This window comes from Homo sapiens, chromosome 12 (genome assembly GCF_000001405.40).
Source record: "Homo sapiens chromosome 12, GRCh38.p14 Primary Assembly".
Taxonomy (NCBI): domain Eukaryota; kingdom Metazoa; phylum Chordata; class Mammalia; order Primates; family Hominidae; genus Homo; species Homo sapiens.
The window spans coordinates 115,949,449-115,967,307 of NC_000012.12; the positions used below are offsets into that span (position 1 = coordinate 115,949,449).

Consider the following 17,859-nt stretch of genomic DNA (forward strand, 5'->3'; position numbering starts at 1 on the left):
GAGAAAACAGATCTTGTCTTGGAAGTGTAGAAGGTTCCAGAAAAACGACCAGGTAGGATGGTAGGAAGGAACTCATCTCTCCAAGGTTCAGGGCATGCAGCTATTCCACTTGACCATTCGGTCTGTTGAATGTCTCCTCTGTACCAGGCAGGAAGGGGCCGTGGGAGAAGAGTCCACTGATAACACAGTGTTGTCGGTGCCCTGATGGGGCATCAGCTACTCTGGGAGTCCCGGGAGGGACAGAGGGGCCAGCCCAAAGCTAGAGATGGCTGCGCAGAGGCAGCAAAGACCAGAGAGTTTGGGCTTTATCAGCACCAAGACTGGGGTGAGAAGTGCCTCAAGCAGAGACGGCTTTCTAGGTGTGAGCCGCATGCAAAGTGGAGCTTTAGTCAACGAAGCGGAAACAAGGACTGCAAGACTTGAGGGTTTCCAAGGCTCCTGTGAGAGGAGCTCCCTCTCCTGTTGATTTCTGTTGCTCCTCTCAGTAACTCAAACTCAGGTGGAAGTCACAGCATGCTGGACCTAGTTCTGTCCCTGTCCCGCACTGTGTTGCCTTGGGAGACCAGCCTAAGAAGCTTGCTCAAGACCAGATCATGGTGAACCTCGTTGGGTTCCCTGCCTAGGAAGTTGGACTTCACTAACACCAGTAATAGCTTGGAGATTGGATTGAAAGAGGCAGGTTGCAGACAGGATGGCATGCAAGGAGGCCACCGTTGAGATCTGGGTAAGAGGTGAGGGGAAGGAATTGTGGGGGGGGACATAGGACATGGTATCCGGCAGGTCTTGGTGATGGAGGAGTCGTGATCTAGATGCCTTCATTGTTTCTGCCTGGGGCAACTGGAGACCTGCAAGAATCGTTCGGGTCCTGGATCTATAAGGCCCTAGACAGAACCCAAATCCATGCCTACCTGAGATGATCTGGCAGGCAGTGAATGTGCTTGGCACTGTAAACCAGTTCCCCCACCCTCCATCTTGGTTTCTAAATGGTGTCTGAAGAATATTCTGGGCAAAAGGCACTCTGTAAGGACAGGGTTTAGCCGGAGTTGGAAGCAGGTAAATTGGTCTCTGCTCTTTCCCATGTGCCATCTCCCACCTTCCTTGGCTACAGGCTCTCCTTTGGCCTCATGCTCTGCAAGATCCTTTTGCCATCCTCCTCGAAGATGTGAGATCTTCCCTCTTGTAGCTAAGCCCGAGAGGCTACCTCGACACACTGTTCCGAGCTACAGGGAGAGGCCCAGAAGAGGTCTTTTTCCAGCTGTACAATCAGGACACTCACTCGGGGCGTCTGATTCTGTGTCCTCATAGTGGTGTGGAGGGAACAGCAGGACTGAGAACTGCGCTCTCCATCCCCATCCTGGGGCAGGGAAGGTGTATTAGTCCATTCTTACGCTGCTATGAAGAAATACCTGAGACTGGATAATTTATAAAGGAGAGGTCTAATTAACTCACAGTTCCACGTGGCTGGGGAGGCCTCAGGAAACTCACAATCATGGCAGAAGGCACCTCTTCACAGCGCGGCAGGCCAGAGAATGGGTATCCAGCGAAGGAGGAAGCCCCTTATAAAACCATCAGATCTCGTGAGAAATAACTCACTATCACAAGAACAGGATGGGGGAAACCACCCCCATGCTCCGATTATCTCCACCTGATCCCTCCCACAACAAGTGGAGATTATGGGAACTACGATTATGATGAGATTTGGGTGGGGACACAGCCAAACCTTATCAGAAGGAAAAGCTCATAACGGTGCAGAGAGGTGGGTACCACTGTAAATTCATAGTCTCAGGCCCGCTCATTGTTCTCCTCGGTTCTCATCCCTGATCTGCACCAAGGCTACTGCACATCCTGAGACCCACCCACCACTTCCATTTAACACTCCTTGGCATCCTCCTTCACAAGGAAAGGAACAAAGCCATCAACCAAGGCTCTCTCTCCATCAAGCTTCCGGGTCCCTCCTCCTTGGACCCATCTGTCACTCACGTCCTTCCCTGTTCTGGCACTGACGTGTGCTCCAGGCCTCAGCAAATTAAAAAGCAAACCAATCAGCCCCCCTGACACCTCCATGTCCTACTCTGGCTACCTGCTTTCTCTCTGCTTTGTTCCTGCATGCACTGCAGTCTGGCCTCTGCCCCGTCCTCCCCGCTGAAATCATTCTCAGCAAGGTCACCAGTGGCTGCCTTGTTCCCATAGCCATTTTGAGGACAGCTGTCTAACTGCTGAGGCCAGAAACCTCCCGCGTCCACAACCCACTTCTGAAACCGCACACCCTACTTGGTCAATAACCACTTTCTGTTGATTGTTTTTCAATAGCCCTCTCTCCCTCTTCACTATCCATACCAGGGTGTGGCCCACCATTATTCTAGCTTCCATTTTTACCCCCTTCCGATAGCCATAATAGTTGTTTTTTTTTCTTTCTTTCTTTTTTCTTTTTTTGAGACAGGCTCTCACTCTGTTTCCCAGGCTGGAGTGCAGTGGCACAATCTTGGCTCACTGCAACCTCCACCTCTCAGGTTCAAGTGATTCTCGTGCCTCAGCCAAGAAGCTGGGACTACAGGCACCTGCCACCACGCCCTGCTAATTTTTGTATTTTTGGGTAGACACGAGGTTTCACCATGTTGGCCAGGCTGGTCTTGAACTTCTGACCTCAGGTGATCTACCTGCCTTGGCCTCCCAAAGTGCTGGGATTACAGGTGTGAACCACCTCCCCCAGCCATGATAGTTCTTCTAAAGGTCAATCTGATCATTAACTTGCTTAAAATGCCTTCGTGAGTCCTCATTTCTCTCAGACGTGTCGGGCTGACCTGCAGGGGGCTCCTGTGGCCTCACGTTTCTGCATATGCTGTATCCTCCACCTGGAACACACCCCACCTCTGACAGCTGCCTCCTATTGGCTCTGCGGAGCTTCTGAAAATACCACTTTTCCAGAAAGCTTTTCCCAGAGTGTAAGCACTCTGTCTTCACCCTATCCCAGATCCCCCACTAGGCTGCACCTGCTCTCACTAGACTATGCGCTGCCCCAGGCCAGGGATGATGCCTGCCTTATTTCTTGTGGTTCCCCCATGCCTGGTTCCAGAGAAGATCCGATGACTTTTAGAATGGAGAATCTGAGAATGACAAAACATGGGGATGAGGGGAGAAGAGAGAGAGATATTCAAGATGACACAGACTTCAGGGTTGATGAGCAGGAGGAGAAGAAGAGTTTGAAGGAAGAGGTTCAGGGCTATGTCTGGAGTGACCCTGAGCTTCCAGGTCGAGGCATCTTGTGGGAAGATGGAGATACTGAATCTACAGCTACAGACGTGGGAGTCATGGGGGAAGGGCTGATTGTCTCTGGAAACTATAGAAGGGCCATGCTGAATTTTAACACAATAATGGCAGCCGGATGTCCTGTCTGCTTTACCACCTGCCTGCCTATCCACACTGTCCTAGCAGAAGTTAAGCTGACTTGGACAGATGTTTCTCGAAGTGTGGGCCACCAGTTCCTGGATCCAAGTCGCCTGGGGAGGGAGGGAATTAAATGCAGATCTGTGGGCCCTGCCCCCCACCAACTGGATCAGGATCTGGGGTAGCCTGGGAATCTGAACACTAACCAGCTCCCGGAGATCAAGGATTGAGACTTTGCCAAGACAGATGCAGAATAAGCAATGGGTGAGGAATTAAAGGTGTCAGCAAGACAGTAGCCGAAATGGATGGCTTGGTTATGCTGACAGACTGGACATGGGAGGTGCGTGTGTCCTGTCATAGCAACAGGCTGCTGGGGACATCCCAGAGGACCCGTAGGGCTCACACATCGCCCATTGCTCGCATAGCTTTAGAGGACAGTCCCTTGTGTCATAGATGCTGACCTCCTAGACTGATTTCCACCTTAAAGATAGGACTACAGTCGGGGGTTCATGTATCTCTTTATCCCCTAGCTTGGGGCCTGGCACCTTAGGGGCACATATCCTGTTAACAGAATCATCAAATTCCTTCTGCAAACATGTTACATTTATGTGTAACAGCAGCTGGGAGTGCCTAACGGTAAGACAGTCCCTGAGTAACATTGACTTCCACATTTGTTGGGGAAGAAGCCTGTGACTAAGGGAGTTGCCTAAAACTGAAGGGCAGTGTCCAAGGAAAAGGATGAAATAATTTGGCTCTGACTAGCAGGTGTTACCCTGTGGCCTAGGAAATGAACCCCACACAGTTTGAGTTCACATCCATTAAATCCCGAGAGAATGAGAACGGGGTTGGAACGGGTGGATCCAAGGTGCTGTTTTTATTAGAATGGAATCTACGGAATGAGAGGAGCATGGTGGATGTCTGTGGACTGTGTAAAGGTCATCACTGATGGAATTAGGTAATGGAGGTTTCTTTCCAAAACACGTTAAAAAAAAAAAGGCAAATGGCAGAGTCCATACACAAAAAAGGCAAAACTGAAGAGTTAAAGGAAGCAAATAAATCTGTATGTGTATTTATAAAAATTGGCTGACAAGTCAAAGTATAACATGAAACAGGAAATGCAAAGGCAAAAATTACCCTATTCAAATAAAAATAGTATTGTTCTCTTAAGAAATAAAATACAAGAGTTTGTATGAAGTACACCTGACACAAAATGACAAAGGTTGAAAATAAGTGGTGGGCCAAAGATATAACACTGGAATTCTAATCAAAGGAAAGAGGGGCGGTATTAAAAGGATAATTTAAAGCAAAGAGCATTATGCAGAACAAAGGGTGATTATACAGAGATAAATTATATAATACATAAACATCATTAAACCTTTATGCACCAGTAAGGAAGTACAAAGGAAGACCAAACTTCCAGCAGGAAATTTTAACTCCTACTGCCTGCCTGGGACAGAGGTTGAGGTCCGAATGGGGTGTAGAAAACAAACAAAAACAATATACTCAAGACACAATTAGTTGCTACCAAATCTTACACCCCAGCTGTACTGGCCCATAGGATCACCACTACTCCATGTGGCTGTTGATCATTTTGAAATACGGTGAGTGTGACTGAGAAACTAATCTTTTAATTTTATTAAGTCTAATTAATTTAAATTTAATTTAAAAACGGAAGCAGTGCATTTTTTCTGCTAAATCCCTTTTTTTTTGATAGAACTACATTTTTCCTCAACTATTGAAAATTTAGCATCCAAATGTAGACGTGCTGTAAATGTTAACTACATACAGATTTCAAAGACTTACTGCAAAAATAAGAATGCTACATAGTTCACTGATAATTTTCATATTGATTTTAGGTTGACATGGAATAAGAATTTGGATATATTTGGTTAAATAAAATATATTAAAATTAATTTCACCTGTTTATTTTTACTTTTTAAATGTGGCTTCTAGAAAATATTAAATTACATGTATGGTTCACATTCTATTTATATTAGGCAACACTGCCCATGAAATAGGACACACCTTGTTTTGAAGATTTCAGAGAATGCAAGATTATGTTGTAGCATAGGAGAATATTACAGCGTGAGAGACTTTAAGAGAATTTTCCTTAACAAAAACGGATCAAAAAAGAAATAAAGAACCAAGAGTATAAAAATAAAAATGAAAACATTAAGCATCAAGACTTGTAGGATGTAATCAACTTAAATCTAGTGCCAGATTTCATCCCTTTTAGCGTTTGACATCTCAAACGATAAAAGCAATTTTATCCCTTTTAGGGTTTGACATCTCTGAGAATCTGATACAAAGACTGTCTCCCTAAAAAAAAATGCACATGAAGAATTCTGCATATAATTTGAGGAGGGCCAACACATCCAGAAGCCCCCAGGCTATAATGCCTATATCATCAAAAGTGAAAATAAATTAACTAAGCAGGCAATTAAAATTCAAGCAAAATGAAACATAACTCTCAAGGAAACTAGGAAAAAGAATAAGAAGACAAAGCCAAGGTACAAACAGCAGAATTGTTAAGTCCATGAGCTGTTTCTTTGGAAAAATCAAACAAAAACTAAAAAAAAAAAATCAAACTGCTAGAAAAATCAATCGAGGTGGAATAAAAGCATTAATATTGCTAGAAATGGAAAAGAGCATACATCACCAAAAAGTTTCAAAATTAAGGGGGTATTCTGCACCATTGCATTAAGTAATACATTTGAAAAACTCATTTTTTTCCTGTAAAAATCTAAATTAACAAAATCAACAAAAGAAATGGAAACCCCAAATCAACCAAAAACGAAAAAAAAAAAAATTCCTGTTTTGTAAACCGCTTCCCCAAAAGGCATCAGGATCTGATGAATTTACTGGTAAATTATTTCAGATTTTTGAGGTGCAACTAATTCTACTCTTTCAACAGTATCAGTATTTGACAAACATTTCGTGAGTGCCTACTTCAGTCCTTTATTCAGTCTCAGCCCAATAGAAAGTTGGTGTCATGAAAGATAAACTCTTTGGGCTCACGGAAAATGACGGGGAAGTTCATTGGTTCATCTTATCAAGCAAACGTGATCTTGACCCCTAGACCTAAGAGAGAAAACCTCCTAAGCTTTGCAGTAATACAAGAAATAGCAACAACAAAAAACACTGGTGTATGTATAATTACAGAAACTGTGTCTCCTCTACAATTAAAAAAAAAATCACATACTTCAAAGGAAGCAGACAGGAAATTATATATGTAAATAATGTATCGAAATTAATAAGAACATCAAGACCTCTAAGTGAACAAACTAAGATTTATGAGAAGCTAACGTGAAAATGCTTACTGAAAAACGTTATAGCCTAAATTAAGACAATTACTATTTTACATGTTAAATTATTTAAATTGACATTCCCCCACAACGAATACTTCCTCGTATTAGATATTTTTTTTCCCAGAGCTTCTGTTCTAAGCTCTGGGGTGGCCCATTTTACTGAATATTGTCTAGTCTTATAAAACAAGTAGATTGAAACATGCCTCACCCAACAGCAAGGCAAAAGAGGTATACACTAGGCAGCAGGAGCCAGAGAAATGCTCAGAGATGCTGCCAATTTCAACGTGTCTGCATGCTGTGATCACTGGGTGAATTTCAAGCACACTCCAGGACAGACATGGTTTGACCCATATGGGTAACAGCCCAGACAAGTGCCATGTTAGCAGATTATTAAAACTGAACCTGTGCTTTCCTCACTTCCCTGCTTGTTTGAAAGAAAACAAAGAAAAAGTGGGACTAACAGGAATGTCTGTCTTCGGGTCTTCCCATCACCTGGGAACTTGAATTCATTGAGGAAATAGCCTTTACAGAGAAAAATCAATACTTTGGTTATGTCCAACCTTCTTCCTGGAGATTAAACTTTCTCATCAACTTCTATTTCTTAACTGCTTCATGATTTAGCGTTCTAGCTAGAAGCAGTTAAGTGTCAAAAAATCTTTTTTAAACGTGACCCTGGAATTGTAAGCAAAGTGGAGGAAGACTGGTAAATCTGGTTCCAGGCAGAGCAGGATGCCCAGGGCAAACATTACAACCCTCTATAATTACCTGGCACAACAGAATTTTCTAGTGGTGTCTCATTAGGTATTAATGACATGAAATAATTACTGCTAAAGTGACCTTTTTGTCAAGGGAATATAAACAAGAGAATCGTTTAACACCAAAATAACACGGTAATAAGTGAAAATTGCATCTTGATAGGATTTGGGCGTGCGGTGAATTCCAAAGCACGATTTCCTTTTTATACTGGCTTGACTGTAAATGACAAGCGGCAAAGACTGTTTTCAATATGTGGCTTATGCTTCTGCAGTATGTCTTACGAGGTTTGCTTTTAAAAACTCATTGACGAACTGTACTTTTATAAAGATTTTTAGTGGTTCTTTGATGCCCAGTTGGTAACAAATACCTTTGCTCATGACTTCCTGAACAGTAAAACCAAAAACTACATAATCACATGGTTGGAGGGAATGAACTGGTGTGAAGAGCAGAATCTGGGTGATGCAAACTGCTGAAGGCTGATGGCTTATCTACATCTAACTTGGAAGACATTTAAATGCATTCATTTATCCTACCTCAAAGAGATTTAGCTGCGGTTGCTGAATTGGTACAGGTGGGGGCACTTATGAAAATGACATTCCTACTATAAAGCCAACACTAATTGTTGAATATAGTACCACCCAACGTATGAGCTAAGCATTGAAGCTACTGAATGCTTGTAAAAGTACCTCCTAGTTCTGATTATTTAGCTGCTGCAGGACTATATAAAAGTTATATATGTAAGGCAGTAACTGGATGAGATCACTATTATTTTTTAACCAAAAAGTTGGCCTCACTTTTCTCAGTCTTTCTTCAACAGTGCAGCTGTAACATGGATACAAGCCTTTTAGTTTGCAAAGCATTTCTCATGCAATCATCCTCATCCCTCATTTGCAGATGAAGTAACAGAAGGTTGAGTTGTCTCAATAGCTTTATCTCTGGATTCTGATAATGTTAGGTTCAGAACAACGTATATTTCTAAAATGATGAAGGCAGATTAAAAGCAAGGCCTTTCCAATTATTCAAATGTTTATTGTAAGCTCTGCCAAGTCCTGGGGTTTAACCATTTTTAATGAGAGATTTTGCAAGGGCAGTATACGAAATATACCCTCGCAACTCCTGCTAGAACATGTGGCTTTTCCTAGCTGATGGACCCAAGAAGGGAACAGCATGGTAGATGGTGTGCAGCCAACAGGGACTTGCGTGTGGTGTATCAGATGCCAAACTCCCGTCACCAGCCTGTGAATCAGGAAAACAGCAGAGAGAGATGTATCTGTCATTTCTAAGAGACATCATAAAGAAACTGGCTGAGACTGTGTAGAGAAAGGCGGTGGAATATAAGATACAGACTTGTCATTTGTGCTAGAATTGACCACAATCTTACAGCTGAGAGACACCATTAGAGCTCATCGACTCACAGCAGTTGATTCGGTGTTGTGTGTGTTAGCATGTAAAAACTGATGGGGGAGTGTACTTGTGCCCTGGAGCATGAGAATACCATTTCAGAACAGCTGTTAGGGGGGTGATCAGGGTGGTAAAATTCTACATCCATTGCACTGACTGGAAGGTAGAGGCCTGGCTACTAATCTAGGGCTATTCAATACATATACATGCACCTCTCAAACAGGTGTAGATAATTTTATACAAAGGCAGGAGAGGAAGGGAAAAAAGCCACTCAAAGCTTCAGTAATTCAATAATTTATTCCTCTAAAAAAGTGTGTAAAAGTATATAGCTCTCATCCACAAGGTATATATGAATGACATTTAAAATGGAGGCCTTTTATTATTGTTTCTTTTTATCAAAGTCTTTTAGTGTACTGTACCAGCGCTATACTGTAGTTATTTTTTTAAATGAACTTCACATATTTTTGTATTCTTTCAAATTGTTTGCTATATATAAAAGAAGCTCACTGCAAAATGCTTGAAGGAAAAAAGGAAACAAAAGAAATTCAGAACTTCCCAGAAATGTACAGCTTTTACATTTAAAAAAGGTTCTGAAATATACATACAAGCATGCTGGACAATCCCACCCTTTTCCCCTCCCCATTTCCCCTTTTTTTGTTCAAACCATGGTAAGAGTTCTGATTTCTGCAGAATTTCCAAAATTAAAAATAAAAAAAAATAAAATAACTTCTCACTCTGTAGCAAATCCAGGGCTTGTACATTTCAGATTAATTCAGTAAAAAACTCACAAGTAAAATAATGCATATTTAAGGGAAATATTATACAGACTTTTTCACACAGAAGTACATAATAAGATTTTTTAAAATCTATTGCCATTCATTTATTTTTGCACAAAAACGTATAAATATGTCACCAGCTTTTCTTAACTTAAAAAACTTAAATAAAAGACACCAGATGAAAACTACCCTTTGCTGCCATTTTTTTTAAAGTTTTTTTGTAGGGGTTTTTTATTTTTTGTGTTTTTTTTCTTTTTCTGCTTAGAATTGGGTTTCTAGGGAAGAAAAGCCCCTGCATTAAAAACAGCCCATTTAAAAAAAAAATTCAAAGTTCTGATGAATTCCGGGAAAAAAGCAACCCCAAAGTGGTAAAAGATTACAAATATCTACTTTACAATTTGTCTTCTCACCAAGATAATTTTATACAAGTTTACAATCTTCATCTTCTTATGCTCTTCAAAAGGCCTTGAGAATTTTCCTTTCTGATTAAGAAAAAATAGCACTGCAATATTTTTAAAGTCAATTTTACACTGTACACATTAGATACAAATGGTTTGATATATCAGATTTTTTATCCTATACATTGCGAAAGTCAACCCCCCCTTCAACTGGTGGTACAGAGAACAAAATTATCCATTTACAAGTTATTTCTCTGCTTTCACATTCCCACCACACAACTTTTTTTTTAATATAATGTTTTAAACTTTAGATTATTTCAAGAAAAATACTTTTACAAAATCATATCAATTATTACATTTTTCCTTTTTTGTTAATAACCAGGACATGGAAGTCTCTTGGAAGAACTTTTAAAATTTGCATGATTCTCTCCACAGATGACAAGAGCTCAAAGGCCTGGTCACAGTGGCTCCCGGGAGGCCAGTACACACCCACTGTCCTCAGACAGAAACACACAACACAAGGGTTAGAAACAGGGTTTCAAAGACAACCCTCTGGGCCAGGAATGAGGAGTCATAAAATACTTCAATTAGCCATTAATGCTTTAAAAAGGCATTTTTTTAAAAAGTCCCACCACAAAGGCTCAACTTCAAGTACTAATTTAATGGTTAAGTTGTAATATTTCTTTGAAATAATATTCCTATGGTCCAGAAAAAATTCACCATATTTATAACTGATTTCATGAGCAAACACTTTCAATTGTTGTATGTACATAAGTCCCTTTTGATCTAATGAGAGGAGAGACCTGGCTTCCAATAAGAATTCACTAGAAAATATATTTCCGTTGTGACTATATAAAACTAATTAAGGTACTTGCCTCCATGGCTCTGAGTTGAGCTTGACTGCCTTCTGTATAAAAATGTTATCCTTCATGAAATGCTGGCCACTTAACATGGCAGAACTTTTAAAATCCAGTTTGTTGTTAACAAAACCTACTGCTGGGTGGTTTTGAATATATTACTTTTAGGCATGATCTCCCCAATGTGTTTTTACTCCTTTTCCGGCTTCTAGGACAGAGGTATGTAGTCAAAGAATCCTATGGTGGATCTGAATTGGGTTTCAGCTACTGTACCTGGTCCTTGTGAATTAAAAAAATAAAGTCACAAAAACCATATGACAAAACAAATTAAAATAAATAAACAAAATGAAGCTGTCTCCAGACCTTCTGCATTGACACACAGGTTTGAAGTCAACCAAAGCACTCATGCTAATCTGGATGGGAACACTAGGGAGACAGAAACCCCAGTATGAAACCATGTACTTGAGCTGGTTCTTATTTTTAAAAAGTCCCAGATTATGGAGTTCAGGTAACCCACAGGCCATACACCAGTAACTAAGAGGATTTCATCCAAAGGGCTAGACTGCCCTCAATTGTATACAGAGGCTGAAAACACAGACTCTTGTGCAAAAGGACACTGTCTCTTCTGTTTCCCGCTGAAAAGCCATCAACCACCACCACTTCCTGGGGACCAGTGGTTGGGGCTACACACACCACCGCACTGGCTGAAAGTCACCACTTATGGAAGTTTCCAGGTCCATGAGAGAAGTGTCAAGGAGTCACTCTGGTAATGAACACTGCAGAATTGACATGTGCCTGCTGAGAAGGAATCACAGTGCAGGACTGTGGAGAGTGGTCTGAAGAAAAGGATGTGGGTTATTTGCAGAGTGTAGCAGGTTCCTTGGACTGAGGTTGCAGGGAGAAGGAACTGAGCCAGAGAGAACAAGTGCTTTTCCAATTAAAGTATATTCATGATGGCATTGTACAACTGAGTGAGCACCACAAAGTGGACGGGAAGGCAGGAAGTACGGTCCTGGGTGGCCGGATTGCACGTGAGCCAGGACAGAGCGTTGTACTGCTCCAAAACAAACCTGCCAAAGAGAACACACAGAGCAGGGGCGTGAGCCTCAAGAGGGAAGGCTGGTTCTCAGATTCTAATACATTCCAGATCTTAGCAGGAAGGAGGTCTCAAAGGCATTCCTTAACTTGCCCCAGGCTCTTTCCCTCATCCTTTGTCTCATGTTCCTCCTTCCTTCTAGATATGGACTATCCAGTACAGTAGCCAGCAGCCACACATGGCCATTGAGCTCCGCCAGTGAGGCCAGTAGGAACTTGCGTGGACTGCAGGTAAAGTAGGCACTGGAGCCCAAACACTTAGGGGCCAGGTGCAGTGGCTCACGCCTGGAATCCCAGCAACTTTGGGAGGCCGAGGTGGGGGTGGATCACCTGAGGTCAGGAGTTCAAGACCAGGTGGCCAACATGGTGAAACCCCATCTCTATTAAAAATACAAAAATTAGTCAGGCGTGGTGGTGCATGCCTGTAATCCCAGCTACTTGGGAGGCTGAGGCAGGAGAATTGCTTGAACCTGTGGGCGGAGGTTGCAGTGAGATCATGCCACTGCACTCCAGCCTGGGTGACAGAGCAGGACTCCGTCTCCAAAAAAAAAAGAAAAAGAAAACGAAAAAAAGAAAAGTATGTAAAATATTTCATGAATATTTTTATATTGTTACATGTTGAAATAACATTTTGAGTATATTGAGTTAAATAAAATATATTACTAAAATTAACCAGTTTCTTTTTACTATTTTAATGTGGCTAACAGAAAAATTTTAATTAGATTTGAGGTTCACATTGTATTTCTATTGGACAGTGTTCCTCTAGGGCAGCAGTCTCCAACCTTTTTTGGCACCAGGGACCAGTTTCGTGGAAGACAATTTTTCCACGTGGTGGGGGATGGTTTCAGGATGAAACTGTTCCACCTTAAATCATTAGGAGTCTCATAAAGAGTACACAACCTAGATCCCTTGCATGTGCGGTTCACAATAGGGTTTGTGCCCCTATGAGAATCTAATGTCATTGCCTGACAGGAGGCGGAGCACAGGCTGTAATGCTCGCTCACTTGCTACTTACCGCATGCTGTGGGGCCTGGTTCCTAACAAGGCATGGACGGGGGTTGGGGACCCCTGCTCTAGGGGGCCTGGAAGCCAAATTTATGTTGATCAGGTTCTTTATTTTTATCCATAACTATAATTATACATTAATCTATAATATATAGTTTCCTATCATTTCCTAACCATTTAAGAGTTAGAAAACATTAGAAAAGGCCTGTATATTTTCTCAAGGTAGATGAAGAATGCCTGTGGCTTGATTAATACACACTTCTGGAATGCACTTCTCAACTATGTCATTTATGTTCTAGTCCATTTTTAAAAAAACACATAATCGGTGGCTCATGCCTGTAATCTCAGCACTCTGGGAGGCTGAGGCAGGCAGATCATGAGGTCAGATCGAGATCATCCTGGCTAACACGGTGAAATCCCGTCTCTACTAAAAATACAAAAAATTAGCCGGGCATTCTGGCGGGTGCCTGTAGTCCCAGCTACTTGGGAGGCTGAGGCAGGAGAATGGCATGAACCCAGGAGGCGGAGTTTGCAGTGAGCTGAGATCACGCCTCTGCACTCCAGCCTGGGTGACAGAGCGAGACTCCATCTCGAATAAACAAACAAAAATACATAATCTATCTCAGGAAGCATAAAAAGTGTTTTCAATGTGAGGTGCTTTAAGAGTTCCAGACACTGTCTTCTAACTATCCACCCCCAAGATCTGACCTCTCTTCATCACCATGAAGTGCCTGCTCTGAACAGGAAGCAAAGGCAACTATAAATGCCTATCACTGCCTAACTGAATCCAATGTATTACACCGCCTGTCCCATGCAGCTATGAGGGACTGCAGCTCTCACTGACTCATCAGATACTGTATCACTGCACAAACGGCAGCTTCTATGAATACCACACTTAGATTAAAACACCTTGGAAAGACAACAGTAAAGGAATATTGTTTCAAATTGCACTGCTATGATGCCTAGGTTGGTATCTACCTTAAAACATCCGACGTGGTTTTGGAGTCAAGAGGGTGTGGAACCCGCTGAGAATTCCTGGCAGGCAGAAGTTCGTCTGTCTGTGCTACTGAAATGTGGTGATGCAGCGAAGCCTGGTGAAAAAACAAAGAGAGTTACCTCTCTGGTCTAGACAATCACAGTGCAGAAGTGAGGGAGGCCATGTCTGCCAGAAGCAGATGCTCCCAAAAGTCCGTAGAAGTCAGGGTTTCTGTGAGTCTACAAATTTTAACCTGCTCAGTAACCCCCAAGGTAATCCCAAATAACTTCTTATCCTAGAGTTGGAAAAAAACAAAAAAAAAGCAAACTTTTTGGGCTTTTTTTGTCTACTACATTTTGTTTCTTCAATGGAAATAGTCTAGCACACACAAAAATACTATAATATATAATAAGGTCCCATGAATTGATATCGCCAAGATGCAACAATTATCAATATTCACCACTTTTCTGTTTTCATTTTCTTTTTCTGAATTAAACACAAATATTACCATCTCTATAAAACATTAAAAAAAAATAGCTGGGCATGGTGGTGTGTGCCTGTAGTCCCAGCTACTCAGAAGGCTGAAGCTGGAAGATTGCTTGAGCCTGGGAGGATGAGGATGCAGTGAGCTGTGATTGCACCACTGTGCTCCAGCCTGGGCAACAGAGCAAGACTCTGTCTCCAAAAAAAAGAAACAAACAAACCAACCCCCAAAAAACCCTCCCCACAAAAAAACAAATATTGTATTATTTTGCTTGTAAAAAGTCAGTAGATGTCTCACATAAGGACCTTTAAACATAACAGTAATTATCACAGAAAAATTAACAATGATTCCTTAATATTATCACCCCATCTGTAGGATAATGAGGAAGATAATGCTCCATTATCTCAAAAATGTCTTTTTATAATTGGTTTACTAAAATCATGAGCCAACATGATCTGTACATGACAAATGATTAAAGGCATGAAATGTCTACTGTCCCACTTGAAGTCACATGATTCATCACTGGGTTCAGGTGATACCAGGACACTACATCCATCATAAAGTTCCTCATCAACTTTTCACCTAATGGTTTTGGTATTACTTTACATGTAAAGGAGAGGCAACATATAAATGCTTCTTTCTCTTTATTTTTTTATTTTTCAGACTGAGTTGATGCTCTAGCAACAAATGATGACTGATTTTTTGTTTGTTTTCCAACACAATTATGAACCAAGGATTTGTTTCATTCTATCACTGTCATCATTTTTTTTAATGATCACACTGTCCCATCCTATCCCTGGACAACAGAGCTGCCCCCTAAGATGGCTCCTGAGGCCCTGCTGGACCATAATAATCTTTGGTAACTTTCTTCCTTTTAGGTGTGACAAGATGCCTCAGGTTCATTGTGAATATTTCCTGCTGCATATCTGGAATCAGTCATCTCTTCAAAGAACCACAGTTCCTTTAAATGACAACGGTGTGCAGGAACCACATTCGTGGCAACAGAGGTGTTTATTGCTGCTAAGCTTTTTCAGCAGACAGAGCTAAAAAAATGTGTATACTTTTTTAGAGAGGAAAAATAAATCTATGCTCATATTGATAATTCTAATTCAAAATAAAGAACACATGCATTTTTATAAACCTTCTTTGATTTTATAATAGTATGTTAAAGTCATTAGGAAAAGAACATTGCTTCACTGTCTAATAAGTTTTTGGTTTAATTTCCATCGTTTCTTTCTGAAAATATACACAGCTATGTGTGTACGTGTATATGTGTGTGAATGTGCATATCTTATAGATTACTCCATGGTAATCTCTACTCCACAGAATGATTACATAGAAATGGTCTCCATTTTGTTGTAGATGATTAATATTTCACTGTCTGGATGCACCACAGTTGATTCAATCAGTCCCTCACTGATGACACTTAGGTTCTTTCTAGTCTTGGACATATGTCATTTTCTGTTTTGGCAAAGAACCTTTGGGCTATTCCTTAGAGGTGGGATTGCTGCCCTGAAAGGGAAGTGTGTAGGGCTATATCATTCAGCAATCCCACCAACACCAGGGCCTGCTCCCCACATCTGGCCAACACAGTATGCTGCCAAATCTTTGTATTTTTGCCAATCTGTGGGCAAGAGATGGATTTCATTCTAGGTATTGCTGTTTTTAACATAAACTGCAAGTAGGGGATCTTTTGTTTTGAACCCTTAAAATTGGGATTAAAAGGTTCCAAGAAATATAAAGGAAGGAGCAAGTGTAAATGTGCGATGTTTTTAGCTGACTCTTACTCTTCTCTAATGAAGAATGTGAAGAGTCCCTGGCAGGGGAAGAAGAGGATGGCTGGTTATTATACCTTCGACACAGGCTTAACTTTACTGATAGTGATGCAATATAGACTTGGAGAAAGACCATCACATTGAACCCCATGCATCCATCCTAGATTTACCCTCTGGGCCCCACTGTTTCCTCCTTGGGCTACAGTGATTCATTTCTTTGTGACATGGTTTTGGGTCCTCCTAAATTCTACTCTCCACCTACAACTGTAATTAAAATTTCCTCAGAGTATAAGTAGATACAAGAGAAAAAAGGAACAGAATAAGATTATGGTGACTAAAACTGAAATTTCTAACCAAAATTAAATTTAAGCGTAAATCACTCATTCCTTGCAAACTTCTAATATGACACCAAACCAACCTTTAAGAAGAGAGGGCACTGGTTTTGAGCCTGGGGACACGATGACCAAAACCACTGGGGAAGATTCTCAGCTTTGGCAGTTGATACAAAATACCCAAGGGCCAGGGGCTGCTGCTTTAGCTCCTCTGGTGCTTCTCTAGAAAGAAGACGCTCACCCTGGCTCTGAAAAACAAAAATCCCAAAAACATGATCAGCATTTATCTTAAAGCTTGAAAAATGAACTTTCATCAGTTCACTCTGCACACTGCAGTGAGTGATCCCCTTTGTGGCAGCATCTCACAGAAAACAACAGGTGACTGAGAAAGGTAAGCGGGGCCAGCATCGTCTTTGCTGCACACATAGAGAAGATACCAGCAAAACTGACAGCCTCAGTCAAGTAAGTACAGATTTATTTGCTTGGGTTTCTTTTCTAAGGGATGTAAGATCTATTTCATGGCATTATGATGTAACAAACTAAAATGGAAAGATTACAATCTCTGACAGCAGAAGGCTCTACCACACGCAGGTGCTCTTTCACCAGCAACCAGCCAAAGACACACAAGCGCACCAGCCTGACCAGGACAATGTGACACCAGTATGTGCACAGCACAAAAGTTCCTGAGCTGCCAGTAGTGCAAGATCTGCTCACAGAGAAGCCATGTTTTCATTTGCAGCATTCCCCTTAATAAGAGACTCCTGGAAGAGGCTATGTTTTGCTGCAACTGACACTTTTCTTATCTTTTAATTCTTTTAGCTAGCTTCATCAATTGAAAATGTACCTTTCATGCAAGCAATAAGTAATGCATTTGTTTTTAAAAGTCTCTGTTTATGCTGGGTGCGGTGGCTCACACCTGTAATCCCAGCACTTTGTGAGGCTGAGGCGGACAGATCACTTGAGGTCAGAATTTCGAGACCTGCCTGGCGAACATGGTGAAACCCCACTCTACTAAAAATACAAAAATTAGCCAGGCACAGTAGTGCACGCCTGTAATCCCAGCTACTCAGGAGGCTGAGGCAGGAGAATCCCTTGAACCCAGGAGGCAAAGGTTGCAGTGAGCCAAGATCATGCCACTGCACTCTAGCTTGAGCAACAGAGTGAGACTCTGTCTCAAAAAAAAAAAAAAAAAAAAAAAAAACCTTCTGTTTGGAAGGAAAAAATAATCTGCAGCTACTACATCAAACTGTATCAATTCTGAGTTGGTTAAAAAAATAAAAAATTTACTGCCACTTTGAACGCATTCTCTTCC

General features: G+C 41.4%; 1 protein-coding gene across 8 annotated transcripts in view, besides 1 other annotated feature; it reads right to left on the reverse strand.

The window, feature by feature from the left end:
* Positions 9,128 to 17,859, reverse strand: part of MED13L (mediator complex subunit 13L) — a 319,118-nt gene continuing 310,386 nt past the window's right edge. For all 8 annotated transcript variants that reach the window (XM_047428608.1, XM_017019090.2, NM_015335.5 and 5 more), the window contains 3 exons: positions 16,634 to 16,795; positions 13,959 to 14,071; positions 9,128 to 11,950 (listed from right to left, as the gene is read on the reverse strand). In XM_047428608.1, coding sequence (XP_047284564.1) covers positions 11,818 to 11,950; positions 13,959 to 14,071; positions 16,634 to 16,795 — 408 coding nt within the window. In that variant the 3' untranslated portion in view covers positions 9,128 to 11,817. The remainder of the gene's footprint in view (positions 11,951 to 13,958; positions 14,072 to 16,633; positions 16,796 to 17,859) is intronic.
* Positions 12,128 to 12,627: an enhancer, noted in NCBI's record as "H3K4me1 hESC enhancer chr12:116399381-116399880 (GRCh37/hg19 assembly coordinates)". NCBI's record gives its function as "activates a minimal SCP1, AML or CMV promoter by ChIP-STARR-seq in primed H9 embryonic stem cells {active_cell/tissue: H9 hESC(primed)}" and the evidence as "EXISTENCE:reporter gene assay evidence [ECO:0000049][PMID:30033119]".